The sequence below is a fragment of the Homo sapiens genome, chromosome 1, assembly GCF_000001405.40.
Source record: "Homo sapiens chromosome 1, GRCh38.p14 Primary Assembly".
NCBI classification, from domain to species: Eukaryota; Metazoa; Chordata; class Mammalia; order Primates; family Hominidae; genus Homo; species Homo sapiens.
This window is the reverse complement of record NC_000001.11, coordinates 204,129,271-204,154,582: the sequence shown is the minus strand read 5'-3', so window position 1 is coordinate 204,154,582 and position 25,312 is coordinate 204,129,271. Positions and strand designations below refer to the sequence as shown.

At 53.6% G+C, this 25,312-nt stretch overlaps 1 protein-coding gene and 1 long non-coding RNA gene across 8 annotated transcripts, besides 5 other annotated features; one reads left to right on the top strand and one right to left on the bottom strand.

Annotated features, from left to right (window-relative positions):
• ETNK2 (ethanolamine kinase 2) lies at positions 2,539 to 23,521 on the top strand. 7 transcript variants are annotated; one of them, NM_018208.4, is made up of 8 exons: positions 2,539 to 2,988; positions 4,621 to 4,880; positions 7,819 to 7,941; positions 13,126 to 13,268; positions 14,465 to 14,548; positions 17,334 to 17,479; positions 19,995 to 20,068; positions 22,327 to 23,521. In NM_018208.4, exons 1-8 carry the CDS (start codon positions 2,731 to 2,733, stop codon positions 22,397 to 22,399), a joined length of 1,161 nt encoding a protein of 386 aa, NP_060678.2. In that variant the 5' UTR covers positions 2,539 to 2,730; the 3' UTR covers positions 22,400 to 23,521. The 7 variants fall into 7 exon arrangements, with proteins under 7 accessions (NP_060678.2, NP_001284689.1, NP_001284690.1 ...); NM_001297760.2 differs by having other exon boundaries at positions 19,889 to 20,068; NM_001297761.2 differs by lacking the exon at positions 4,621 to 4,880.
• Positions 2,761 to 3,460: an enhancer, noted in NCBI's record as "H3K27ac-H3K4me1 hESC enhancer chr1:204120251-204120950 (GRCh37/hg19 assembly coordinates)". NCBI's record gives its function as "activates a minimal SCP1, AML or CMV promoter by ChIP-STARR-seq in naive H9 embryonic stem cells {active_cell/tissue: H9 hESC(naive)}" and the evidence as "EXISTENCE:reporter gene assay evidence [ECO:0000049][PMID:30033119]".
• Positions 11,574 to 13,175, bottom strand: ERLNC1 (estrogen receptor responsive lncRNA 1). Its single transcript, NR_123739.1, has 3 exons — positions 13,107 to 13,175; positions 12,323 to 13,018; positions 11,574 to 11,934 (listed from the first exon to the last, which is right to left on the bottom strand). It is a non-coding gene; the product is annotated as an estrogen receptor responsive lncRNA 1 (long non-coding RNA).
• Positions 22,609 to 23,144: an enhancer, noted in NCBI's record as "H3K4me1 hESC enhancer chr1:204100567-204101102 (GRCh37/hg19 assembly coordinates)". NCBI's record gives its function as "activates a minimal SCP1, AML or CMV promoter by ChIP-STARR-seq in naive H9 embryonic stem cells {active_cell/tissue: H9 hESC(naive)}" and the evidence as "EXISTENCE:reporter gene assay evidence [ECO:0000049][PMID:30033119]".
• Positions 23,145 to 23,681: an enhancer, noted in NCBI's record as "H3K4me1 hESC enhancer chr1:204100030-204100566 (GRCh37/hg19 assembly coordinates)". NCBI's record gives its function as "activates a minimal SCP1, AML or CMV promoter by ChIP-STARR-seq in naive H9 embryonic stem cells {active_cell/tissue: H9 hESC(naive)}" and the evidence as "EXISTENCE:reporter gene assay evidence [ECO:0000049][PMID:30033119]".
• Positions 23,698 to 24,200: an enhancer, noted in NCBI's record as "H3K4me1 hESC enhancer chr1:204099511-204100013 (GRCh37/hg19 assembly coordinates)". NCBI's record gives its function as "activates a minimal SCP1, AML or CMV promoter by ChIP-STARR-seq in primed H9 embryonic stem cells {active_cell/tissue: H9 hESC(primed)}" and the evidence as "EXISTENCE:reporter gene assay evidence [ECO:0000049][PMID:30033119]".
• Positions 24,201 to 24,704: an enhancer, noted in NCBI's record as "H3K27ac-H3K4me1 hESC enhancer chr1:204099007-204099510 (GRCh37/hg19 assembly coordinates)". NCBI's record gives its function as "activates a minimal SCP1, AML or CMV promoter by ChIP-STARR-seq in primed H9 embryonic stem cells {active_cell/tissue: H9 hESC(primed)}" and the evidence as "EXISTENCE:reporter gene assay evidence [ECO:0000049][PMID:30033119]".

Here is a 25,312-nt window from a genome sequence, read left to right as displayed (position 1 = left end):
AGGCTAATGCTGTGGCAGTAGACTGTGGGTCAGAAAGTTCTCCCAGCTCACAGAAGCCAGCTCTGAGTTCAGACTCTGCTCTGCTGAGCTAGTCAGCCCTGTCTCTTGTCCCTGCAAAACTCCCCTCAGCTGTCCTTATCCACTGCAGATGCCCCCGCCCTGCCCCATGTAGCCATTTACACAGGCATTCTAAGGCACTACCACCTAAAATCATAGAACACCAGAGATCCAGGCAATACTTCCACTTTACAGGTGGGGAAACTGAGGCCCAGAGAATGGAAGGCCTTGCCCAAGATTACTCGGTCAAGAATCAAGTAGTGAAGAATACTGAAAGATAGTGAAGAATCAAGACTGGAACCCAGCCCGTCTGACTTGGGTCCTGGGGGTTTCCACCTTATCATAAGCAGTTGGTACCGTCATAAGTACAGTGCTTCACGCACGCTGGTACAGGGCCACGTGCACAAGCACACAGGTGCACACACACACTGCTATCCTCCATCCCATCCACCTGGGACTCGTCAGGCTGAAGTCTCTTCTCCCACTCTCACTCCTTGGGCTGTCTTCAGGGCACATGTAACTTGGGGAATGAGAAATTAGCATCCACCTGGAGCCACTGAAGCCATCCCTCTTCACCATAGTTGCTCACCTCTCTTTTGACAGAAAGTCGTGAGGCACTGAATGGCCCAACCAGGCCCTCAGTACCTCTGGGAGCCATCTGCAAGAGTCCCTGTGTAGCGCCAAGAGCCGGAGCCTGGGCTTCAGGACCCTGGACTCCCACTGATTCTCCATGTTCCCTTGTCCTGCATAGCTGTACTTCCTCACTGCAAAGGAAGTGTTGGTGGCCAGTGTCTTTTCCAGCTCCATCCTGGAGCTCCAGGACCTTAGGAAGGCAGGCACGACCCCCATTATCTCCTTCACTATCCAATATGGTAGGCACATGTGGCTATTTACACTAAAATTAAAATTAATTAAAATTGAATAAAATCAACCGGGCGCGGTGGCTCACGCCTGTAATCCCAGCACTTTGAGAGGCCGAGGAGGGTGGATCACCTGAGGTCAGGAGTTCAAGACCAGCCTGACCAACATGGAGGAACCCCCGTCTCTACTAAAAATACAAAATTAGCTGGGCGTGGTGGCACATGCCTGTAATCCCAGCTACTCAGGAGGCTGAAGCAGGAGAATCGCTTGAACCCAGGAGGCCGAGGTTGTGGTGAGCAGAGATCACACCATTGCACTCCAGCAGCCTGGGCAACATGAGCGAAATTCTGTCTCAAATAAAAAAATTTTTTTAATAAAATCAACGTGGCTAGTGGTCACTGCATTGGACAGTAGATATAGAACATTTCAATCACTGCAGAAGTTCTGCTAGGCAGAGCTGGATTCTGGACCGCAGTAAGCATAGGAGCCTTGCGGTTGAGAGGTTCCGGGATAGGCCAAAGGGGTAACTGGGAAAATAGGAAAGGGCCCCTTCTCTGAAGGCGCTTTTCTGGGTGGGGCAGTGAGAGATAGTGACTAGTGAGATCCCTGAGGCCTCACTACAACAAATAGGGCTGGCAGCCAACAGAGCCCTGCTCAGAAGGTGGCAGAGAATGACCAAAGGAGAATCTGGCTAGTAGAGGGACTTGCCCCCTGAGCCGGCCTGGCCTCTCTCCATGTCTCCTCCCCACAGCAACCTGCCCCGGGACACCTTGTCACCCCTTCCCCTTCCTTCCCACCCCCAGCCATCACCATGCCTTGCTTTGGCCCTTAGCTGCGCCAGGCATTTGGCTGTCCTCCCCAGGACGCGCGAGGGTCTGTCCACTTCACACCCCGAATGCCAAGCAAAGCACTGGGCTCGGGTACACCGCTGGCCTGCTACCTGGCTCCATTCACACGCTCAGGATGGGAGGGAGGCTTTAACTCAGTCTGGCCCCAAGTCCTGCCCAGGATGTGCCCAAACACTCCAACGCCCTGGCTGTTCAGTGGCCTGCCAGGGGACAGCGCAGTCTGCTGGACTGGCACACTCTCACCCCAACGCTATCACCCAATGTCCCCTCTTCATGCAGTGTGTTTCTGTCGGGGATGGGAGGTTGCCTGGGTGTGGGGGGGGGCTCTCTGCAGGGAAGGACCTTTGAGATGCAGCAGGGGCCGCCCCTGCAGAGCCATTTCCCGGGGTCCGGGGACTGGGGGCACGGAGCAGGGGCACAGAGGGGCGAGCCCAAGCTGACGTCGTGGGAGCAGCGGATCTCTCTATTCCAGGATGAGGTGGGGGCGCAGGACGAGCCCTCCCCCGCCTCCACCCCAGGCTACCGGGAGAGAGCTGGAGTCTCGCGGCCTCGGAGGCCGGGAAGCCAGCCCCGGCGGGGACCCGGGCGGGGCGGAGCCAGCGGAGGCCCCACCCCCGGCGTCACCGGCCCCCAGGGGGGCGTCGCCCCCACCCCGCGCTCCAGGTAGCGGCGGCCTCAGCTGCCGGCGGTGGCTGGCTGAGCTCCCCAGCGGCCCGCGGGCCGGGGCGGGGGCGGGCCGGGGGCGTTCCCGCGGGCCACCGCCCGTGATGTCACAATCGCGGCGGGCCGCGGCGCTCCGGGGTCGGCGGTGGGCGGCGGGCCGCGAGCCGGCGATCGAAGCGGGCAGCTCGCGCCTGAGTCATGGACTTCCCCTGGCCCCTCCTCTACCACTCCCACTCCCTCGCCGGACCCCCCCGCCGGGGCTAGCGTCTGCCGCGGCTCCGAGGGGGTGGGGCTGCTGGGAATGGCTGTGCCCCCTTCGGCCCCTCAGCCGCGCGCGTCCTTTCACCTGAGGAGGCACACGCCTTGCCCGCAGTGCTCATGGGGCATGGAGGAGAAGGCGGCGGCCAGCGCCAGCTGCCGGGAGCCGCCGGGCCCCCCGAGGGCCGCCGCCGTCGCGTACTTCGGCATTTCCGTGGACCCGGACGACATCCTTCCCGGGGCCCTGCGCCTCATCCAGGAGCTGCGGCCGCATTGGAAACCCGAGCAAGTTCGGACCAAGGTAGCGGAGTGGGCGCGGGGCCGAGGATGGGGTCCTGCCAGGGCTGCCAGGGGGATGCGGGGACCCAGTCCTCGCATCCTTCCGGGTGTCAGTCCCAGGGGTGCGCGGCTGCTGCGCAAGAAAGGTTTGGAACGTGGTTTGTGTACGGATTGATTTCGTCGCTACCAAAACTAGGCTCACACCTCCCTTGGCCCTGCACACGCCCCCCTCCTCCCGGGGCTCTTAGGCACGCCTGGTGGCCACCTGCCCACTGTCGGCATGCTGCGTGTGCGGGCCGCACCCCCTGTCGCTGCGTGCTGGTGCCCCTCGCTGACCAGAAGCGCGTACCCAGCCAGCTCTGAAACCTGAGGAGGCGGGAACTTTTAAGAGACCCCCCGCCCCCCCGACCCAGCCATACATGCATACATTGCTGCCCCTTCTCCACCCCATGGTGGGAGCAAATCCTCCAGGCTCTGAGCTGCCCCTGTGGGTCCCAGGAGCCACCCTGTGGAATTCCAGCTAGCACTCAGCTCCTCACCATCGCTGCAGGCTCGGGCTCAGCACCCCCACACAGGCCATCTTCCCCAGCCCCAGCTGGACACAGGTCCCAGGACACACCTGTGGGCAGAGCCACTCACTGAGCCTTAGGCTAACTCCCCAGCTGACTACCTCCAGCCCCGCTGTGGGCTGCCTGTGGAGGAAGGTGCCGAGTGGGGCGCTTGTAGCTTGTGCTGGAATGGTAGCGGCTCCATGCAGACAGGCATTCTGGGGTGGGGTGGGGGCAAAGTTGTGGGGAGGTTCTTAACCAAGTGTGGAGGCTGACAGAACCCGCCCTGGGGATGGAGTAGCGTTTTCAAAATAAAAGGCCCAGTTTGGTATAAGACTGTCAAGGCATCAAGCAGGCCTGAGGTTAATTCCAGCACTGATCTAACGTGCTATCTGCCAGTCCCTCCCCTCTCCTGCCTCAGTTTCCCTACGTAGAATTGGTTCAGATGACCTCTAGGGCCCTCCCAGCTCTGTCACATTGTGCCCCGTAAATTCCATGGTTCCTTTCTCCTCATCACCCTGCTGTCCAGAGAACCTTGCTCGCAGCCCAGTTGTCTCCTGTCTTTTCTGGTAAGGACCTCTGGCCACTAAAGTCCTGGGATGGGTGCCAACCTCAGTACCCTCCTTGTACCTCCACCACTGGATGGGGCAAGGGGTAGAGCAGAGCACACTGCCCGGCACAAGGTGATTGGCAGCTGGTCAGGACATAGTGTTCTGGGCAACTCCCAGCCCTCCCCTGCCACATTCTGGTCCATGATGTTTCTTTCCGTACTGGGGTGGAGGGTAAGGAGCAGCAGGAGGCGTCTACCTCCCAAGTAGTGTGGAAATTTCTCCACTGCCAAATCCCATTCACTAGAGGCACACCCAGGAGTGTGTGGGAGCTAAACCCAAGCTACCATTTTTTTCTTGAACTCTATAGAGACTGGAGACTCCCAAGGTTGGGGACAGAGAGGAGCATGAGTGACTGGGCTAAAGCACTGGGGGCTTGGGGTGGTTGTGCTCGGCATTCAAATGAGCACCTCCTGCTGGAGCTACAGAGCCCAGGAGAGAGACCAGAGAGATCCTGCCCCACCCACCCACCCACGCACTGTCCTCTCCCCATGCTAGCGCTTCACGGATGGCATCACCAACAAGCTGGTGGCCTGCTATGTGGAGGAGGACATGCAGGACTGCGTGCTGGTCCGGGTGTATGGGGAGCGGACGGAGCTGCTGGTGGACCGGGAGAATGAGGTCAGAAACTTCCAGCTGCTGCGAGCACACAGCTGTGCCCCCAAACTCTACTGCACCTTCCAGAATGGGCTGTGCTATGAGTACATGCAGGGTGTGGCCCTGGAGCCTGAGCACATCCGTGAGCCCCGGCTTTTCAGGTGAGGAGGGTGCCAGGGCCTCTGTCTCTACTATTCTTCAGGCCTTGGGCTTGGAAATCCTTGGCATGTGGGGTCCATGGTGGAGAGTTGTAAGATCTGTGAGTTCCCTGAAATTGCATGAAAAATGCATGTTTATATGCATTGCTCTGCAGAGAGGGGCTATCGCTTTCTGTAGATTTTAAGGGTGAGTTCTGGGGGAGGAAAGGAAGAATTGTGATGAACATGGGAGCAGAGGACCTGGTTCCCTAAGTGCGGCAGAGATCTGCTTCCTGGCATCATGCCTCAAACCTCTGCCCACTCCAAGTCTGACCTGGAAACATCTCAGAGCCTTAGAAATGAAATCTGAGCCAGATCCCCAGGGCACTCAGGGTTTTCTACCTCTGTCTCTGTTTGTCAAGGAAAATGGGCCCTATCCAGGGTAAGCATGGTTTTACCAGCCCAGGGAGATGCTATCTCTTCTGCCAGTCTGAACTCCTTCCTGGCTCCTTGACGAAGTGGGAACCCAGGTTTGGGGAACTGTCAAGGCCTCCTTTCAAAGGCTCACAAGAACCTGTGGCTCCTGGGGAGCCCCTCCCAGTAAATGCTTGGATGTGTAGGGCCCAGGAACTGGACTTTTCCTTCAAGCCCTGGGAATGCTGTGGAGCCTGGAAAGGGGGAGGACCAAAGAAGGACCCCTAGCATCTCCCTCTCCTCTGTGCCAGAACAAGGATGGCAAGCAGTGTCCTCCTTCCTCCCTCCAATGTCATGACCCACACGGAGGGCACTCAGACTTGAGTGAGGCCCAAGGCAGGCTGAGGTTTACTCCTGACACTGGGACAGTGGCACGGGGATCTGCCTAGGAGCCTTGGCATCTGCCCAGGCTAATCCAAGGGGAAGGAGGGCTTGCATACTGAGGGGAAACAAGCCCACCTGGGGGTAGAGCAAGAAGCTTCTTTGCTTCCTCACCTGCCACCCACTTAACCCCAAATGCACCTGGCTGTGTTTGTGCATGCCTTCTGCAGGGACTTAGAAGAAGAGGATTTGAGAGCTCTTCCACCCCCATGCTCATAAGCGGCTGGTCAGGCGGGATATTTGAGTTGTGTATTGTAGCAGTGTGTGTGTGTGTGTGTGTGTGTGTGTGTGTGTGTGTGTGTCTTGAGGGTGTGAGAGGCATACAGACCTATGCAGGGATGTTTGCAGGCTCCAGTTGAACAGTTCCAAAAGGACCCAGACTGGAGATGTGAAGTCAGAGCAGGGTGCAAAGGGACCCTGTCCTGACTTCTGCCACTGCACTCCCCCCAGCTCTCCCTCAATCTGGTGCATATAAGCTCAGATATTGTCAGGTCGTCACCACTCCCAGGATCCCTCCACCTCTGTGTATCCGATGCTGTCACTCATCCTGTCACGCAAACAATTACCATTGTCAGGAAGATTGAAGGTGGATTTAGGTTCCATAAGAAGAAGAACGTGACATCTGGGGGAGAGCCCGAAATTGGGATAGGTGTAGGAGGTAGGCCCTTCCTTGATGATTTTCCCAGGATAGACCATCATCCCTCTGGGTGAAGGTGAATGTCTATGGGGAAGGCCTCCAGGAACCACCCTCTACATGTTCCCTTGAACCCCACCCCCAACCTCAGCCTGCTGAGGCTTTGCAGCATGAAAATGCTGAGTGTTGAGGTTACTTTCATTGCTATTCCAGACAACAGCCCTATTGATATTCAAGAAAACGCTCTGTTCATGCTCTGTTCCGAATCTTCCTTTGGGAAGGGAAGGCCTGAGTCTCAGGTCTGTTTCCCTGCCTTGCCCAAACCCTGGTGGGTTCCCTTCTGCCCCAGGGCCTCTGGCCTCTGAAAGAAAGCACAGCCTTCCTCTCTCACCCAGGAGGTTGCTGCCACGCCCCTTGTCTCCTCCACCCTTTAGGAGGTGGGAGCCTTGGGGGCTTCCAGAGGAACCCCAAAACTGCTCTGTTATCCCAGTAGGGTATGGCCTGCCTCTTTCCAGGGCCTGGCAAGAGAAAGGATACCCCTTGAACAGCTTGGTAACAAGGTTTCAAACAGCTAAGGCCTTTGTTGTCTTTCCCAGTGATTGTTATTCAAGCAACAGGCAGAGGCTGTATGTTGGAAGGAAGCTGAATGTTGGAGTCTTAGCAGACGGTTGGGGGGTGGGACAGCGGAAGGGAAGACTGGAAGAGGACTGGGAGGGCCCAGCTGGGACACAGGGCCTCGGGCGATGGGGTCTTTATCAAGGCCCTCCTTCTCTGACCGGTCAGTTTTCCATTCACCCCCACCTTCTCCCAGCAACCTTTCCTACCACCCAATCCTCTCCTGAGACCTTGGATAATGTCCACAGAAGAACTTGAAAATAGAACGCTGGCTTGTTTTGCGGCCTTGGCACCCAGCCGCCAGCATCAACTCCCTATAGCAGAGGAAGGGGCTACCCTGGGCCAGCCTGTTTCCCTCCCCACCTTGGCCAGGCTGATAAGAGGCGGGCATTTCTTCCCTGCCTGGCATCACCACCCCCTGATCTCTTGGTGCAAAGTGAACTATGTTCACGTCCCCTGAGAGGATGGGTCAGAGTCCGGGGAGAGGAGGGCCAGCCCCGCCCCCATCCCCAGGTGCCCCTCTGTTCTCAGGAGTTGCTATGGGTACACTGGGGTAGGACAAGGCCACTGACCTGTGACCAACAGCCCCACTGCTCTGCCCTTCTGCTCCCTGAGGCAGCCCCAGCCTGGCACTGGAAAGGGAGCAGCCAGGCTAAGGTCTTAATTCATTCTCCTCTCTTCTGCTGAGACCTTCCTTCTGCAGGACCTGTGCTCCTAAGGGACTTGCAATCATCCCATCCTTGGCCCTCTGGCAAGTGCCCTGGTGGGCCTGGAGGGTCCCTATCTGGCCAGGAGGAAATGAGTGGGGAAGGCAATGTCCCAGCACTGATGCTCTACTCTTCCTGTTCCCTGCTGTAGGTTAATCGCCTTAGAAATGGCAAAGATTCATACTATCCACGCCAACGGCAGCCTGCCCAAGCCCATCCTCTGGCACAAGATGCACAATTATTTCACGCTTGTGAAGAACGAGATCAACCCCAGGTACAAAGATCTGGGAGGGTCCAAGGCTGCCTTAATATGATCTCCCTTCCCCATCCTTTTGGCTCCAGCCCACCCTGCTAGGAGGTTTAAGGGCTTAGGTCTCGGGGAGGAGGCTGGGGAGTTTCTCCTGCAGTCCCTTCAGTCCTAGTCGGTAAGCCTCTGTCTCCAAGCAGAGTTGGCCCTCCTGACTAAGGAGCTTAGATGGGCAGTTTTATACCCATGTGCTCATTTCTCCTTCACTCTCTGATTGTGGCAGGGACCAGGGTTGGGGACATTTCCCCATTTTACTTAGGGGATGCCGAAGCTCAGAGACTGAGCTTGGCCCAGCGTTATGGGGCTTGTAAGAGGCAGAGCTTCTGTTTCCCAGCCCAGGGCTCTTTCCACCTGCCCCACCTTCTGAACCATGAGCAGGGCAGGGCCCTCAGAATGAGGTGGGACTGAGTTTAGCATCAGTCAGAAGAACTCAACTCATCAGCTGACAAGCCCTTGGGGACATCGAGGTTCCTGCTACTTCCCAAGACCCCTCTTGTCCCCATGTGCCTTTGGGGACCCTGCCCCCACCTTGCTCTGACTGACAGCTTGCTGCTTCCTTCACTGCTCTTCCCAGGAAAGGAGATAGACCACCCATCCTGACATTGCCTTTCCCTGATAAGACAGGGTTCCCTGAGTTTTCCCTTAAGCACTCTGACCAGCAACCTGAGAGTCCTCCAAGCCTTTAGACGCCTGACTCCCCAACACACCCTGAGTGCCGAGGAAAGGATGGAGGCCTGGAGGAAAGCGTGGTGTCTTGCCTTCCCTCCTCCAAAAAAAGGCAATAGTGAGTCTCATTCCTTCACGCTCCCTGCTGGGTTTGGCTATCACCCGTGTTCCAAATGTTCATGGGAGTAGGGTGCAGAAGAGGTTTGAGGTGAAGGATGTGTCTTCCCTCTTCCAAGATGACAAGATAATAATTAACTCTATCCCCATTTTGAGTATGTCTCTGTCACACACATGCATGACTTTATCTGCATCATCCCATGCCATGCCTATCAAGCACTGCTTTGGGACTATTTGTCCAAGGTGGCCCAGGCCTGCCCTCTCTTTGACCATGTTCAGACCTTGTATGTCAAATATTCTCTTTGGGACAAGGACCTCCTTTTCCCTCAGGGTTAGAACAGTTTGTAGAGAACAGGTCCTTCCAACCTTTCAGCCCACAGCTGTTATTTGACAAGTGGAAAACCGAGGCCCAGGGAGGGGATGGAACCTGCCCAAGGTCGCTGATCAGTGGCAGCTTAGCAACTAGAGCCAGGCTTCTGGTGCTCAGACATAATCCTTGATACTGCAGCTTCCTTTGACTGTGCTGTCACTGTGTGACCTTGGGGGTAACCTTACTGGGAGGGAGTAATCCCTGGAGAAGAGCTGGCCCAATCTCTTTGCTCTTGTCACACCTTTGAACCTTGGACAAACCAAGTTGCTTAACTTCGTTGAGCCTCTTTAGGGGATGATCCATGCCCTAAGCTGCCTGACTGCCCAAAAGCAGAACAATGATGAGCAATCATTTAGACGAGATAAGCACCTGGAGCTCCAGGCATTGCCTAATAACCCTGAATTATTCAATCCTTCATTTCACAGACATTGATTGACTGGGATTTAAAACAATTTAAAAATGAATGTGACACTGGCCCTGCCCTCAAAGAGCTTAAGAGCCATCTAGGTACACAGGACATGCCCATGCACAGCTGCAAAATAAGGCAGGGTGTGTATAATGTATGCTGGGGGTGGAAGAACCAGGGAAAGTTGTCTTGGCAGAGGTGGCATGGCAGAAATAAGCAGGGAGGCTACTCCAACTGGAGGAGATGGCTGGAGCAGGGTTTGCTCCTGAGTGACGAGTAGATGAGGTTGGCTGGAGCAGATCTTTGGGAGGACCTGGGAAGGGTTTGGGGGCGGGGGTGGACTACAGAGTTGGAGCTAGGTGGTAAGGGGCCTTAAATGTCAGGCTAAGTAGCCAAGATTTAATTTAGCAAGTAGCGGGAAGTCATGAAGATGTTTGAGTCAGAGATTCAGGTCAGTAACCTGACCAGGACTGGGCTTTAGGAAGAAAGTCCTCTAGCATCATAAGGGACAGATTGGTGGGGGAGGGTGGATTTGAGGTAGGAAGACCAGTTGGGAGTGATGTAATTAAGTGAACAAGATCTAGGACTAGGATTCCCAAACTTTGAGCATAAGATTCCCCTGAAGTGCCCAACTTTGGAGATCAATTGAGAGGTCTTGCATTTGCCCCCTAGGAAATGGCTTTTTTTTTTTTTTTTTTTTTTTTGAGATGGATTCTCACTCTGTTGCCCAGGCTGGAGTCCAGTGGCATGATCTCAGCTCACCGCAACCTCTGCTTCCCAGGTTCAAGTGATTCTTCTGCCTCAGCCTCCCAAGTAGCTGGGATTACTGGTGCCCACCACCACGCCCGGCTAATTTTTGTATTTTTAGTAGGGACGGGGTTTTGTCATGTTGGCCAGGCTTGGTCTTGAACTCCTGGCCTCAAGTGATCTGCCTGCCACAGCCTCTTAAAGTGCTGGGATTACAGGTGTAAGCCACTGCGCCCGGCCAGGAAGCTACATTTTGATAGGCACCCCAGGTGATTCTGAGGCAAGTGATTGAGGAACATTGCCCTACGGCAACTTGAGGTGGCGGGTGGAGAGCAGGATGTGTCGGACACCTGTGGAAATAGATTTAGTAGCCTTGGTGTTGGATCCATGCCCTAAGCTGCCTAAGCCCTAAGCTGACATGGATGTGTCCAGAGTGGCTGGGAGAACGTGGGGCGGATAACTGGGTTGGGCCATCACAAGGAGATACTGGTGGGTGGGTTGGTGGGAGGGCAAAGTGTGAAACCAGTAAGCTCAAACGCTTAGAAAGAGCCCTGTGGGGAGAAAGTACTCTTGCCTGTCCAGATCTTGACAGCAGAGTAGAAACTGGCCAGGCAGCAGTCCCAATATCAGGAGGAACCCCAAGGCTTCCCTGCAGAGACCTCCAGCCCCTTCCTTCCCCTCCTGCTGGCCCTGGGGCAGAGGAGCAGAAGGAGCAGTTTTTCCTGGGCAGTGTTTCTGGGATGCGGTGGTGGTTACTCTTCTGCCGATCCCACAGCCTTGAAAGAGCCCCGTGGTGGCGGGACTGAAGGTAGCAAAGCTGGCGATGTTTCAAGTGCTCAGGGGAGGGAAGCAGAGCAGGGAGGGAGGCCCCGGGGAGATAGAAGGCTGGGATTGTTCCCACAGTAACCATCTGCGTGGCCTTGGGGTGGGCAGGGTGGGGTTCAGACTGAAGTCAGGGACAGAGCAGCAGGCATCTTGGATGTCAGAGCCATGTTTTTCAGGCCGGGACCTGAGCAAACCAAAGGAACCCTCCTAATTCTTCCCTTTTGATGGTCTCAGTCCAAGAAAAAAAAAAAAGGAATCTTAAAAGGTAGCTTCTTAAGGAGAGCCAGGACTGAAACACATCTTACGCAGACCTGTCGGCACAGATAAACTCCAGGAAGCATGGGGGAGGCCTCCCCCATATCACCTCTCCCAGCAGACTCCCTGGACTCAGAGAGGCCTTTGCAGAACCTCTGAGGGGCACCCAGGCCTTCAGAGAGAGTGCACAGTCCTCACAATTAGGAGACTCCGTTCGATTTGGATCCTTGGACGGGCCAAGGACTGCTTTCCTTAAATGAAGAAGTAAAGGATCCAGCAGTGCAAGAGGTATCTGGAGGCTTGGAGGGAGGCTCTTTCCTTCCTTGAGCCTCAGTTTCCCAATGGGGCTGGACTAGATAACCTCAGATCTTCTTGAGCTTTGACCTTCTCAAAGCCTGGAAGGGACCCTGTCCTCTCTTCCTTCTCCAGAGGGGGCAGAGGAGTGCCTCAGTCACTGAATACTCTTTCTCGTGTTCTGGCCCCTGGGCTGGGTGAGGGAGTGATCGGTCTGTCCTGTGGGAAGGTGAGAGAGGGCCGGTCTCATCCTCATCCTTCTCTATGTGCTCTTGCTACCCTGGACAGAGAAACACAAACAGGTGACACAGGAATGGAGATAAAAGCCCAGCCTCCTCCCCTCTGCCCATTGGTGGTTCTAGGTTTTTTAAGGACTGTGATAAGTGTTTGGCCTTTTCAGTGTACACAGACCTGTGTGCCTCCTGGGGACCAAAGTTCAGAGCACACAAGCACAGTGGACCCTCATCAGACTTCCACATGGCCTCTGATAACTTGATTGATTGGCTGATTTCTTCATTCCTCAACATGTGTTTCTTTCAGCAGAAATGGCTGCTGAGTGCTTGGGATGGGGGTGGGGCAGCAGGAGAGGTTGACCCATGCATCTTTGTTCATGCCCCCAGGTTGCACTTGCATGATATGGCAGGGGTCTGGGACAAGGGAACACTTACTCATAACTCAAGGTAGAAGGGATGAGTCAATGGGGAGCCACAAAGCAAGCATGCTCTTCATTGAAGGCTTTAATGTTCCTTTGACAGTGTAGGAGTGAGCTAAAGAAGCTCTTAGTTTGCTTTCTCATGTGAGCCGATGGTCTGTTTGTGAGATGAGAGGTTAGACCAGACCGTCTCTCTGATCCCTTCTACCTGTGACATGGTCAGCTGCTGGGGTGAGAGGGGGGTGCATACCAGGACATACCTCTGCCTCCTCAAGAGAGCTCCATTGCTCCAGCTCCCTGCCAGGGCACTACTCTTCCTCCTGGGGAGGATCTTTGTGGGAGTCAGCTCGACTTAGGGAGCTGCACCGCCTCCTGGGGAGTTTTCCCAGCATCCTAAGATCAGGTCTGTTTTGCATCTCTCCCCACTGCTCCTGTTGCCCTTGTTCTTAGTCTGGAATCCCCAGGTCTGGACACTCGTTCTCACCTGCCTTGTCCTTTCCCTGTGTCTCCTTCCTTACCCTCCTGTTCCTTTCACAAAGTAGCAGGGATGCCCTCAGTCAGTGACTTTTATGCTCTGCCTCATGCTTTGACGCCCATGTCTTTATCAGCTTCCTAGCATAACCAGAGGAGTCAGAAGGACAGGACGCCTCAGTGCCATTTTACAGATGATAAAAGTGAGGGTCTAAGAGATTGGCCATTTTTCCAAGGCCCCCTGCAGTAAGACAGAGGGAGTGATGAGGCTCAGATTCAGGGCTCTTGAGGCCAAGCACCTGTCTATCAGCCCTCCTTTCACTGGCTACCTTTTTTGCCACTGCCCAGCCTTTCTGCAGATGTCCCTAAGGTAGAGGTGTTGGAACGGGAGCTGGCCTGGCTGAAGGAGCATCTGTCCCAGCTGGAGTCCCCTGTGGTGTTTTGTCACAATGACCTGCTCTGCAAGAATATCATCTATGACAGCATCAAAGGTATGGCTTCTCTGGCCCTGGGGCAGCAGCAGGGTTTTGGTTGGTTGGTTAGCTGGCTTCACGGAGCTGTTCTTCCGGCTGGCACTTGGACAAGCAAAAGTTAGACCTTGATTTAGGTCTTAAGTTAATTTGTAGGAGGGAAGGGGGAAAGGAAATAAAAAATTCCCACTTTGAAAAGTCTGTGCCAAGGGCCAGTCTCAGTGGCTCATGCCTATAATCCCAGCAGTTTGGGAGGCCAAGGCATGTGGATTGCTTAAGCCCAGGAATTCAAGACCAGCCCAGGCAATGTGGTGAGACCCTGTCTCTACAAAAAAAATACACAAAACTTTTCCTGGTATGGTGGTACATGCTATAGTCCTAGCTCCTCGGGAGGCTGAGGCAGGAGAATCACTTGAGCCTGGGAGGTGGAGGCTGCAGTGAGCCATGATGGAGCCACTACACTCCAGCCTGGGCAACAGAGCAAGACCCTATTTAAAAAAAAAAAAAAAGTCTGGCCAGGCGCGGTGGCTCATGCCTGTAATCCCAGCACTTTGGGAGGCTAAGGCGGGTGGATCATGAGGTCAGGAGTTCAAGACCAGCCTGGCCAACATGGCGAAACCCCATCTCTACTAAAAATACAAAAATTAGCTGGGCATGGTGGTGTGCGCCTGTAATCCTAGCTACTCAGGAGGCTGAGGCAGGAGAATCGCTTGAACCAGGGAGGCAGAGGTTGCAGTGAGCCGAGATCATGCCACTGTACTCCAGCCTGGGCGACAGAGCGAGACTCTGTCTCAAAAAAAAAAAAGACAAAAACAAACAAACAAAAATCTGTGCCAAGAAAGAGAGAGAACGAACACATCCTGGTGTTGCTGATGAGGGCATCACCCCAGGGCGTATTAATACTTAGCTTTATTCCTGATCCTTAGCCATGCTGAGGACAGCTGTCTTTAGATGAGGAGAGCCTGAAGATCCAGCTGTGTGAGAGGGACACTGGGAGCTGGGAAGGGCAGATGGATGGATGGATGGATGGATGGATGGATGGATGGATGGATGAATGGAAGTAGCTTGGAAGACTGCTGCAGTGATGGGATTGGGCAGGGTTGCTGCAGAGGCCGGCATCACTCAGTGGGTGCATCCCAGAGGTCTGTGGAAGCTTGACCAGGCTCTGTTGCCAGATCTCCTGGGCCAACTCTCATCGATTCTCCTCTACTTCATAGGTCACGTGCGGTTCATTGACTATGAATATGCTGGCTACAACTACCAAGCTTTTGACATTGGCAACCATTTCAATGAGTTTGCAGGTGAGAGGGGCATTTCTACAGTCATGTGCTTTGTAGCGGTGTTTCAGTCAATGACTGACCGCATGTAGATGGTGGTCCTATGAGATTACTGTATATTTACGGTAATAGGTACCATATTTTTACTGTACCTTTTCTATGTTTAGACATGTTTAGATACGTAAATACTTAGCATTGTGTTACAGTTACCCACAGTATTCAGTATAGTAACATGCTGTACAGGTTTGTAGCTCAGGAGCAACAGGCTATACCATGCAGCCTAGGTGTGTAGTAGGCTATCCCATCTAGGTTTGTGTAAGTACACTGATGATCACACAAAATCACCCGATGGTGCATTTCTCAGAAGGTATCCCTGTCATTAGGCAATACAGGACTATATTTGACCAACGTTCAAAGCACCCTCTTTAGGATGGGGACCAGGGCCAGGGTATGGGGAAGGCCAGAGGTGGTTCTATACTTAGAGGGTAGAGGCTAGATAGCTCTTGTCCTCCAAAATATCACAGCTTAAGGGGTTAAGGCACAGCCTGCTTTTAGAGAGTTCCAAGTCTCATTGGAGGAAACAGGACTCACATACACAGAGCAGACCTCTCCTAGCCCATATGGCACTTTGGTAACTCAGCTTGGTACATGAATTAGAAAAAGACCCCTTCCTCCAGGCAGACCCAGCTTAGACGATTGCTGCAGCTTGGCTAGCACAGCACAGGATGACTTCAGCCTCCACTCCTTTGTCCAAGCTCCTTTATACCCAGTACAACTGGCGCAATTGTACATGAGGGCCTTACATGTAGATAAGGAGCAGAACAAGCTACAAGTAGCTGTTTGCCTGGTGGCCTGATGAGAGTCATCTAAGTAGGATCTAAATATGTGCTATGTAATTTGACTCCCTAAGTTCAGTTTCTGGCTTTGCTGCTTACTGGCTGTGTGACCCTTGGGCAGTTTATTTACCTTCTCTGTGCCCCTATAAAATGGAGATGATGATAGTACCTACCTCATAGTGTTGATATGAGACACACACACACACATATGTATGACACATACTAAGCATTGTATTGGTGTTTGCTGCTGTGATTAGACTGCGAAGCTTTCCGGGAGTGGGGATGGAAGAGGCAGGATAGGGGGGTGATTCCTAGGGGTAGGCAGGTGTTCTATAAAGGCATAGTATGCACAATGGAACCATTTGTGTAGAGGAGGCAAGGCAGGTTTTTCCAGCTTGAGGGCTTAATTAGATGGAACCGAGGAGGCAACTCACATGGACGGAGCTGGACACTGGGGCTGGAGAGCTGTCCCCAGACTAGCACAGTAAAGTGTTCACATGATGGGGCCAGGCCCTGTGGCTCAGGATAGAGAGGCATGCCCAGGCCAACTGGACAGCCATTCTCCAGCCCCATCAGGCCAATTGTGTTCCTTCTGGAACCCCAGGTGATCAATCTGTCGAGCAATGATTGTACCTGAGAGTACACCTAGGAACCCCCAGGGTGATGGAGCCTCTGCTGGGCAGAGCAGCTGAGCCTCGGGGTGTGGCATGGAGCAGAGGCTGGCACTGGCAGGGCCCTGGGTCCGGGAATGCTTGGCTGCAAGGCCCCCTGGCCTTTCCACAAGGGATAATTCTTAAGCATTTTAAGTCCTCCTTGCCCACAGCACAGAGCAAAATCCAACTGGAATTTCTCCAAAGGGGTAGATTGCAGCCTGCTCTCAAGTTGAGAATGGAGGAGGAAGAACCTAGCCTGGGGGAAGGAAGAGAGCTAGGGAGATCCAGACCTAGGGAGAGGGGCCTCATGGGTGCGCAGGAGTGAGGAAGACACAGTTCTGGGCATTGGGAGATGAGAGTTCCAGCCCTGACTCTGCCTCTAACCACCATATGACCTTGGGTGCATTTCTTCTCCTCTCTGGGCCTCCGTTTGTACATCTGTTCCAGGAGATTCTTTTCTAGCCACGCTCCTGGAGCCTCAGGAGACTGTGTATGTTTCTCCAGGGATATAAAGGAAGCTTGAGAAGGACAAGAAGAAGAGGAAGGAGGGAACCCTAGAGAAGGTGGCCCAGTCCTGGTCCTCCTGTCTTAAACCACTTCTTTCTGTACCAGCTCTGAAGCTGTGGTTTATTCTACCATGCCCAGGATGAGGCTGGTGGTACTGGGCTGGCAGCTGGAGGGCTATGGTGGGGCTGGAAGAAACCAGAGCCATCTGATCCATGGGTTCCCAGCCTGGCTACACATCAGAGCCATCTGGGGAACTGGACTGGGGTGGGGGTGCTCTCCAGGTGATGTTTTTAAGTAGCCAGCTTAACACCAGGAAGCCATGTTTGATATCCCTACATGAAGTCCAGCTCCCTCATTTGATAAATGAAGAAATTTCGGCCAGTGATAGAAAAGAGTTCCCTTAAGGCTAACAAGGTTAGCATAAGACCTAGGGCTAGTAATGCTTATCCAGTGCTTTTAACTGAGGGCCTCCTGTGCACCATCATTTTTGTGCAGGGGTTGGGAAAGACAGTGGTGCTGTCTTGAGGGGTTCCTGTCACTCCCAGGACAGTGTCTTGCCCCTTAACCAGTCTACCTCTCTCTCTGCTTTCCTCAATCCCACAGAAACAGTGCTCCTAGCTGGGATGGGGTAGACCCCACACTAGCTGAGTTTAGTAATCAAAGAAGCTGCCTTCTCGGGCCGCCTCCTTGGGCACAGCCCCAAAGATCAAAGGAGATGGGAGTTTGAGGGGAGATGGGAACACCTACTGAGCTTGAGGAGACCCTTGGTGGGCCCATCTCTGAGCAACTTTGTCTGGCCTGCCTCCCCCTCAGGCGTGAATGAGGTGGATTACTGCCTGTACCCGGCGCGGGAGACCCAGCTGCAGTGGCTGCACTACTACCTGCAGGCACAAAAGGGGATGGCCGTGACCCCCAGGGAGGTGCAAAGGCTCTACGTGCAAGTCAACAAGTTTGCCCTGGTGAGTGCCTTATTTCTAGGGCTGGGGCAGGAAAGGAGGAGTTAGCAGGAGGGACTGGTGACCCACCTAGCCTCCTACCCAGAGCCCAGGGTCAGGTGAGAGCCTGGGGACACCCATCCCTGGCTCCTGACCCCACCCTAGAGGTGAAGCCTGGGAAGAGCCATCTTAGGCAGCTCTTAATACTTGATGCCCTGTTCCCTGCTCCCCAAGCCCCACCAAGTCTAGGCTCTCTCCTTTCTAGAGAAATACTTCCAAGAAATATCCTAGCTTCCTGTGTTAGCAATTCCCTTGTTTGAATAAGTAGTTCTTTCTACTGCCTAACCTCAGCCCTTCATGCTGCAGTTAAATTCATCCATATATATGTATATATACTTTTTTTTTTTTTTTTTTGAGGCAGAGTCTCACTCTTGTTGCCCAGGCTAGAGTGCAATGGCGCTATCTCGGCTCACTGCAACCTCCGCCTCTCAGGTTCAAGCCATTTTCCTGCCCTCAGCCTCCCAAGTAGCTGGGATTACAGACATGTACCACCACACCCAACTAGTTTTTTTGTATTTTTAGTAGAGACGTGGTTTCACAATGTTGGCCAGGCTCATCTTGAACTCCTGACCTCAGGTGATTCGCCCGCCTCTGCCTCCCAAAGTGTTGGGATTATAGGAGTGAACTACTGCGCCCGGCATATATATATATATATATATATATACTTTTTTTGAGACAGGGTCCCGCTCTGTCATCTAGGCTGGAGCACAGTGACACAATCATAGCTCACTGCAGCCTGAAACTCCCAGGCTCAAGCAATCCTCCCACCTCAGCCTCCTGAGTAGCTAGGATTACAGGTGTGCCACCATGCCCGGCTAATTTCTTTAAACTTTTTGTGGAGATCAGCTATTGCTATGTTGCCCAGGCTGGTCTCTAACTCCTGGCCTCAAATGATCCTCCCACCTCAGCCTCCTGAGTAGCTAAGGTTATAGGCGTGAGCTACCATGCCTGGCTATATGTGTGTGTGTATATACATATATATTTTTTTAACCTTTAGAGAAGATACAGAATATCAAGCTCATACTTCTGTGTAACTACCTCCACTGACTCAGAACTCTAAGTAAGCTTTTCCCAACAGGCTCTTCCTGCTCAAATGACTGTGCTGTCAGTTCTCAATTTTCAGTGCCCCTTATCCAAGATACCTGGTTCATGCCAGGTCTCCACCGGTGTGTGCCCAGGGATTGCTAATGTTGGCTTGCAGAAGTAAGAAGACAAGTCAGCTGCCTTGAATTTCACAGTACAGAAGAGAGCTAAATACAATCTTTACTTTTCTGTAATTTCGGATTCCCTATTCTGTTTTCCTCACTGGCACAAAACAGAGTCTACATTAGGTTCTTCCTCCTCAGTCTTAAGACTTTAAGACCTTAAGCACAAGCCTTCCTCTTGCTAAGTTTTTTAGTGATCATTCACATGTGCTAGCTTATCTATGCCCCTTTTAAGGAATGGAAAGGAAATAAAGTGGAGGGAGGTACTTTGTAGCCAACCCCTGAGTGAGGAGGATTCTGGGATGGGGTGGGAATGGGATGGGAGAGCCACAAGGGTTGGGGGACTCACATGGGAAAGTGATGGCATCACTAGTGTTTGTTCAGGGGTAGACGGGAACCGCAGCTCCCTGGCTTTATTTTATTTTATTTTTTTACTTTTATTTTAGATTCAGAGGTACACGTGCAGGTTTGTTATATAGGTAACCTGCCTGTCACCGGGGTTGGTGTACAGATTGTTTCATCACCCAGGTAATAAGCAGTGTGTGACAGGTAGTTTTTTGATCCTCACCCTCCTCCCATCCAATCCCTGGCTTCTTGAGCCTGAGGTGACCTGGGCCTGGTGGGTACCTCTAGCCACAAGGAGAGCACGGTTTGAGGCTTAGCAAATGCCTAGACTTGGGGGATTCTTGTTTCCATATCTAGGTTCATTTTCCAACCCAACCAGCCTCCCAGGAGAGAGGAAAAGGAGTGGAGGAGGTTAGTGTAGGGATCTTCCAGCAGACACGTGGCCAGGGCACTGCTGCCCATCACTCTTCCTTCCCTGCACCTTCCTGAGAGGCTCCAGCCCCCCACTGACCATTAAGCCTAACCTCTGGCTTAGGGGTTCATCTTGGCCTGGATCCTACCTTGGCCTTGAAGACTCCAAGAGATTTCCCTGGATAGGGAAGAAACCAGAGGTGGAGTGTGGGTCCTGCTTAGGTTGTGGGAACCCCCCAAAATTCCTCACTGCTGACTACCTGCCTTAGGGTTGGTAAACATTAGGGCCTCGGTAGAACTAGCTCTGCCCACCTTTCTCTAGCAGGAGTGGAGGCGCCAAATGCTGTGCAGTGACTTGGCCTCCAGAATTTCCCCAGCTTGTGCTAGGGAGACCCCACCACATCTCTTCCAGGGTCCTAGCTGTGTGTCTTCCACAATGACTGCATCCCTCCAGTGCTGTAGAGTCGGAAACAGGCATGGGGAGATTGCCAGGCTGACCCTCTCTGGTCTGTTTCCAGGCGTCTCACTTCTTCTGGGCTCTCTGGGCCCTCATCCAGAACCAGTACTCCACCATCGACTTTGATTTCCTCAGGTGAGTGTGGGGGTGATGGTGGGACGTGGAGAAAAGGGAGAGCCTTGGTTGAGCCCAGGGTGTGGGCAAAGGACAGCCCAGGCAGAATGCCCAGAGTCCGCTCCCCTGCTCTGCTGACTCGCCCCCGTTCCAGCTCATCTCCAGCGGGGCCACTATCCCCAGGGGATGCCAGGAAAGTACCACTCTGAAAAGAGAAGTGTCATATCCTCCCTGTTCCTCGTAGGAGGTGTGCTAGTCCCCACGAAATCCTACCGCCTACTCCACTCCCCACCCTGCTTCCAGCGCACCTATCCACAGAGCCTGGTGGTGGATGGGATCGTTGAAAATCAGTCTGAACGACTGTAGGTCTTACCCTCATTTTACAGCAGAGAGGACAGAGGTCCAGAGAGCAGAAGTGACTTGCTGAAGCCATGCAGTGGTTAAGGGTTTACCATGCTGCCTTCTGGTTGGGCGACAGCCCCAGCTACTCCTTCAGTAGCTAGCCGCTGCTTGTGTATCGATGATTCAGGGAGTCCCTGTCCTGTGAGGCTCCTATGTACCTAAGGCCAGGAATCATTTCTCCTTCCATTCTGGTCCAGGGCCTTGCCCTTCTCCTCCTCACCCACCTTCAGCTGAAAGGGAATCACTACCCTGGTTTCAAAGTGTTCACAACTATTAGAGAAATGCAAATGAAGAGCACGGTGAGGCCGGGCGCGGTGGCTCACGCCTGTAATCCCAGCACTTTGGGAGGCTGAGGCGGGTGGATCACGAGGTCAGAAGATCAAGACCATCCTGGCTAACACGGTGAAACCCCGTCTCTACTAAAAATACAAAAAATTAGCCGGGCGTGGTGGCGGGCGCCTGTAGTCCCAGCTACTCAGGAGGCTGAGGCAGGAGAATGGCGTGAACCCGGGAGGCGGAGCTTGCAGTGAGCCGAGATCCCGCCACTGCACTCCAGCCTGGGCGACAGAGCGAGACTCCGTCTCAAAAAAAAAAAAAAATAAAATAAAATAAAATGAAATGATAAAAAAATAAAATTTAATTAAAAAAAAAAGCAAAGCATGGTGAGATGTCGCTTCACACCCATTAGGATGGCTGCTGTTAAAAAACAGAAAATAATAATTGTTGGTAAGGATATGCAGGAATTGGAACCTTTCTGCACCATTGGTAGGAATGTAAAATGGTGAGCTACTATGGAAAACAGTAGGGTGGTTCCTCAAAAAATAAAAATGTAACTACCGTATGATCCAACAATCTCATTTCTCGGTGGGTAGCCAAAATAATTGAAAGCAAACTCTCAAAGAAATATTTATATACCTATGTTCATGGCAACATTATTCTTGGCATAGTAGCCAAGAGATGGAAGCAACCCAGCTGTCTGTCAACAGATGAATGAATGAATAAAATATAGTCTATACATGCAATAGAATATTGGCCTTAAAAACGAAGGAAATGTCACTTGCTACAACGTGGATGAATCTTGAGGACATTACGCTAAATAAGCCAGTCACAAAAAGACAAATATGGTTCTTTAAGAGATAACTAAAGTAGTCAAATCCATAGAAACCAAGTAGAATTGTTGCCAGGGGGTGGGGAGAGGGAGCAATGGGGAGTATTGCTTAATAGGTCTAGTTTCGGTTGTCCAAAAGGAAAAAGTTGTAGATATTCATTTGCACAGCAATGTGAATATACTTAACAATATAGAACGGTAAAAACAAAACTCCAAACAAGCATGTTTGTGGAAGGGTTTCTCTAGTCTGATCTAAGAAGAAAAAAAATGTAGTTGAAGTTAAAAAAAAAATAGGCTGGGCACGGTGGCTCATGCCTGTAATCCCAGTACTTTGGGAGGCCATGGCAGGCGGATTGCTTGAGCTCAGGAGTTCAAGATTAGCCTGGGCAACATGGTGAAACCCTGTCTCTACAAAAAATACAAATATTAGCCAGGTGTGGTGGCGTGCACCTATAATCCCAGCTATTCTGGAGGCTGAGTGGGAGGATCATCAGAGCCCGGGAGGCAGAGGTTGCAGTGAGCCAAGATCATGCCATTGCACTCCAGCCTGGGTGACAGATCCAGACCCTGTCTCAAAATAAATAAATATTAAAAATTTTAAAAAGAAGCAAAAGAAATAATAATACTAATCAGTCTGGGTTGGGGTTGATCTGCTCAGACTTAGATAGGCCTAGAGCCACTGAAAAACTTTTCTCATGATGTCAGCACCCCCAGCAGGGCCCACCTGGCTTTCTTCCTCACACCCAGCTTCCTTCTGTCTTCCCCACAGGTACGCAGTGATCCGATTCAACCAGTACTTCAAGGTGAAGCCTCAAGCGTCAGCCTTGGAGATGCCAAAGTGACCAGCCACCCCATCCCTCCCCTACCCATCTGTCTGGCCAGACCTGTTCTCCAGAGCTCAATTCTGCACTCTGGGATCCACACCCTTGGACAGGGTGGGAGAGGGGACACATGGGTGTCCAGGGAGAAGGCTCTGTCCCTGCCGCCAGACCCCAGTGGTTGCCACTGAAGACCTCATTCTCCTGTCTGGAGGGGCTGATAGGACCCCCTTCCGGGGGTCCCCTTCACCCCACCAGGCTTGGGAGGAAGTGCCTGCAGCCAGGTCCTGAACCATAACCACCCCTGGGAAACACATCATTCCCAGCCTCAGGCCCTGCTGGAATTGGGGCTGCCTTATATGTGTGTTTACCCCTTCCTGGCCTGGGGAAGGAGGCGGGGAGGGCTCCTTTCTACCTCCAGTGCCCTGAGCCTCCAGTCCGTCTCCCCCTGCATGCCCCATGTGGGAGGTGCTGAGCTCCAAACCAGCATCACACCAACTCTGACACATGGATGTACCTATCTTGGTGATGGGTGGGGGCCAAGAATTGAGCATGACATCTTCCCCAGCAGCCACCTCCTCTGAGATCCCTCACCTTCTCCAAACCAGATCCAATCAAACCTCAGCCCGAGGAAACATGCTCCCCAACGTGCTCTCCTGTGCTTCTGTTTTGTCCCCCTGCTGGGGGGACAGGAGAGGGAGTGGTGAGGCCCTGGGCCTCCAGAGCCTGGCTCTGCTTTGTGCTGTGGCTTAGCCGGAGGGGACGTGGCCAAGGGTGAGGTGGCCAAAACCAGAACCAGCAGTCTCCTGCCTTGTTCCCTCCCTGGCCCTCAGGCCCTCCTTCCAGGGATGTCTCTCCAGCTCTACTTTATGTCCTGAAGCTGACCCGAGGTCTTCCTATCTGGAATGACTAGAGGGAGCCAAGAGGATGGGGTGGGGGCCAGGGCCCCCCAGGGCCTATCGTGGGAGAGCCTGGGCAGGATCCCATCAGAAAGGTGCTGACTAAACTGGTTGCCCGGACACTCAACAGCCTCCACCTCCCTTTCTACCCTCACAGCTCCTGGGGCCTTCCTGGCTCTGGCCCAGAAAGTGATTCATTTGTAAATTATCATGGTTTTCTTTCTGCATTAAAATGCTCATTTCCGGACTGCTGTGTCTTGAGTGACAATGGTGAGGAACTGACCCCTGCGTGGGGGCTGAGGGGTGCTGTAACCCCTCCTGATATCCCCCCTCCACCTGGGCTTCATGCTGAAGTCAAGGTAGCCGCCTGCACACATCCTCCTGTGCACCTAGCTCCGAAGGCTCTGGGCAGGGCCCCCTATTTCTCTCACTCAGCTTCTGTGCCTTTGACTCTCTTAGTAGAACCTACCAGTTAAACCCGGTAAAGCACTGCTTAGGGGGAACTAGGCTGTGGATTACAAGGACTTTGGTTGACCCAGGAGATGAACCAGTGACATTCTAAATAGAAGTGCTCAGGACACCTTCCTCGGTCATGTCTGGCTCCCAGCTGTCAGTGGGGTGGGGAAGGGGCTGCTCTGCCTGAGAACAGGCAGGAGTGATTTCTGGAACCAATCCGTCACTTTTTCAGAAGGCCAGAAGGAAGAGCAGAAACTCAAAGATGAGAAGGGGGCACCCCTCTTGGCAGCCCAGTCACTCCGGCTATACTTCCCAGGCTGTGCACTGGGCAGCAGCTGCTCCAGGACTGCCCCCCTGCCAGTAAGTGCCCAGTGCCCTTAGGGGCAGCAGAGGCAACAGCAGCAGCAGCCTGCCAGGTGGACTCTGGTTGTTTGGCTTTTGCCTGCAAAAAGCACCCTGGTGCCATGGCAACCACTGGAGCTGGCACCTGCAGCTGGAGCTTTCAAGGTCATGGTGATCCAGCATAGCCAGGCCCTCCATGGGCAGCAGCCTCGGGGGGTGACAGTGGGGGGACACGAGCGAAAGAGGTGCCCAGGCATAGGGATGGTGCCAGGGCTGGGCAGGTAGGGGCCCCCTGGGGTCACCTGTGGGGTCAGGTGGTCATCATAGACACTACCTGTCTGGACTAAATAGCAGTGTCCCCGCTCCTTCTTCCTCTCTGAGCCACCTCTGGAATTGAGGGCAGAATTAACACTGTGAAGCCAGCTTTGTTTCCAGCCTCCTGGGTCTTGATGCTGTTGCGCTGGAGATAAGTGTTGCAGTGGTGAGTAGGGAATGGCTGGGACAGAGCCCCCCCCCCCCCCCCGGGTATTGTCCTGTGCCCCTAAGGTCCTGACCACCATCTGTATGGGAAGGAATTAACAGCAGACATCATCCCACTGCCGCCTCTGAGAAAGCATTCTCCTTCCCCCAGTCCTCCAGGGGAGTGAGCCGGTGTGGTGGCAGGGAACACAACCCTGTTCCTCAAAGTCTGGGAGTTCCACCTTGGCTCCTTTCACTGCCACCCCAGGCTAACCAGCACTCCTGTCCTCCTGGCTGAGCACCAGGCCTGGGAGCCTCCCAGTGTGATCCGGGTTCCACCCCCTCGGGCCCCTTCCAGGACTCTTAGCAAAGAGCTCTAGTTAAAGGACTCCTGGGCACATTCACCTTCCCAACGGGCTCTGCCCCTCGGTCTCTGCCGGAGACGCACGGAGGGGACGAACTTGTAGCCCAGCTTTCCTGGTAATGACCACAGCACTCTGCTCCTGGCCTCTCCAACCACCTGGCCCCATCCTGCCTCTCATGAGACAGGGGTGGGGCTCCAGGACCCGCAACTGTGTCTCAGCAGAGGGAATAAGGCAGGCAAGACAAGAGGACTTGCGGGAGGGAAGAGGAACTCAGGACCGACAGGTGGGAATGAGCCAGGCTGGGAGAGTCTTGAGACTGGCAGGACATGGTTTGGACCCACCAGTGGAGTGGAGGAGGCCGGGGGCCGAGAGGGGCGGGCGGAGAGGGGAGGGCGGAGAGCGGAGGGCCGGAGGGC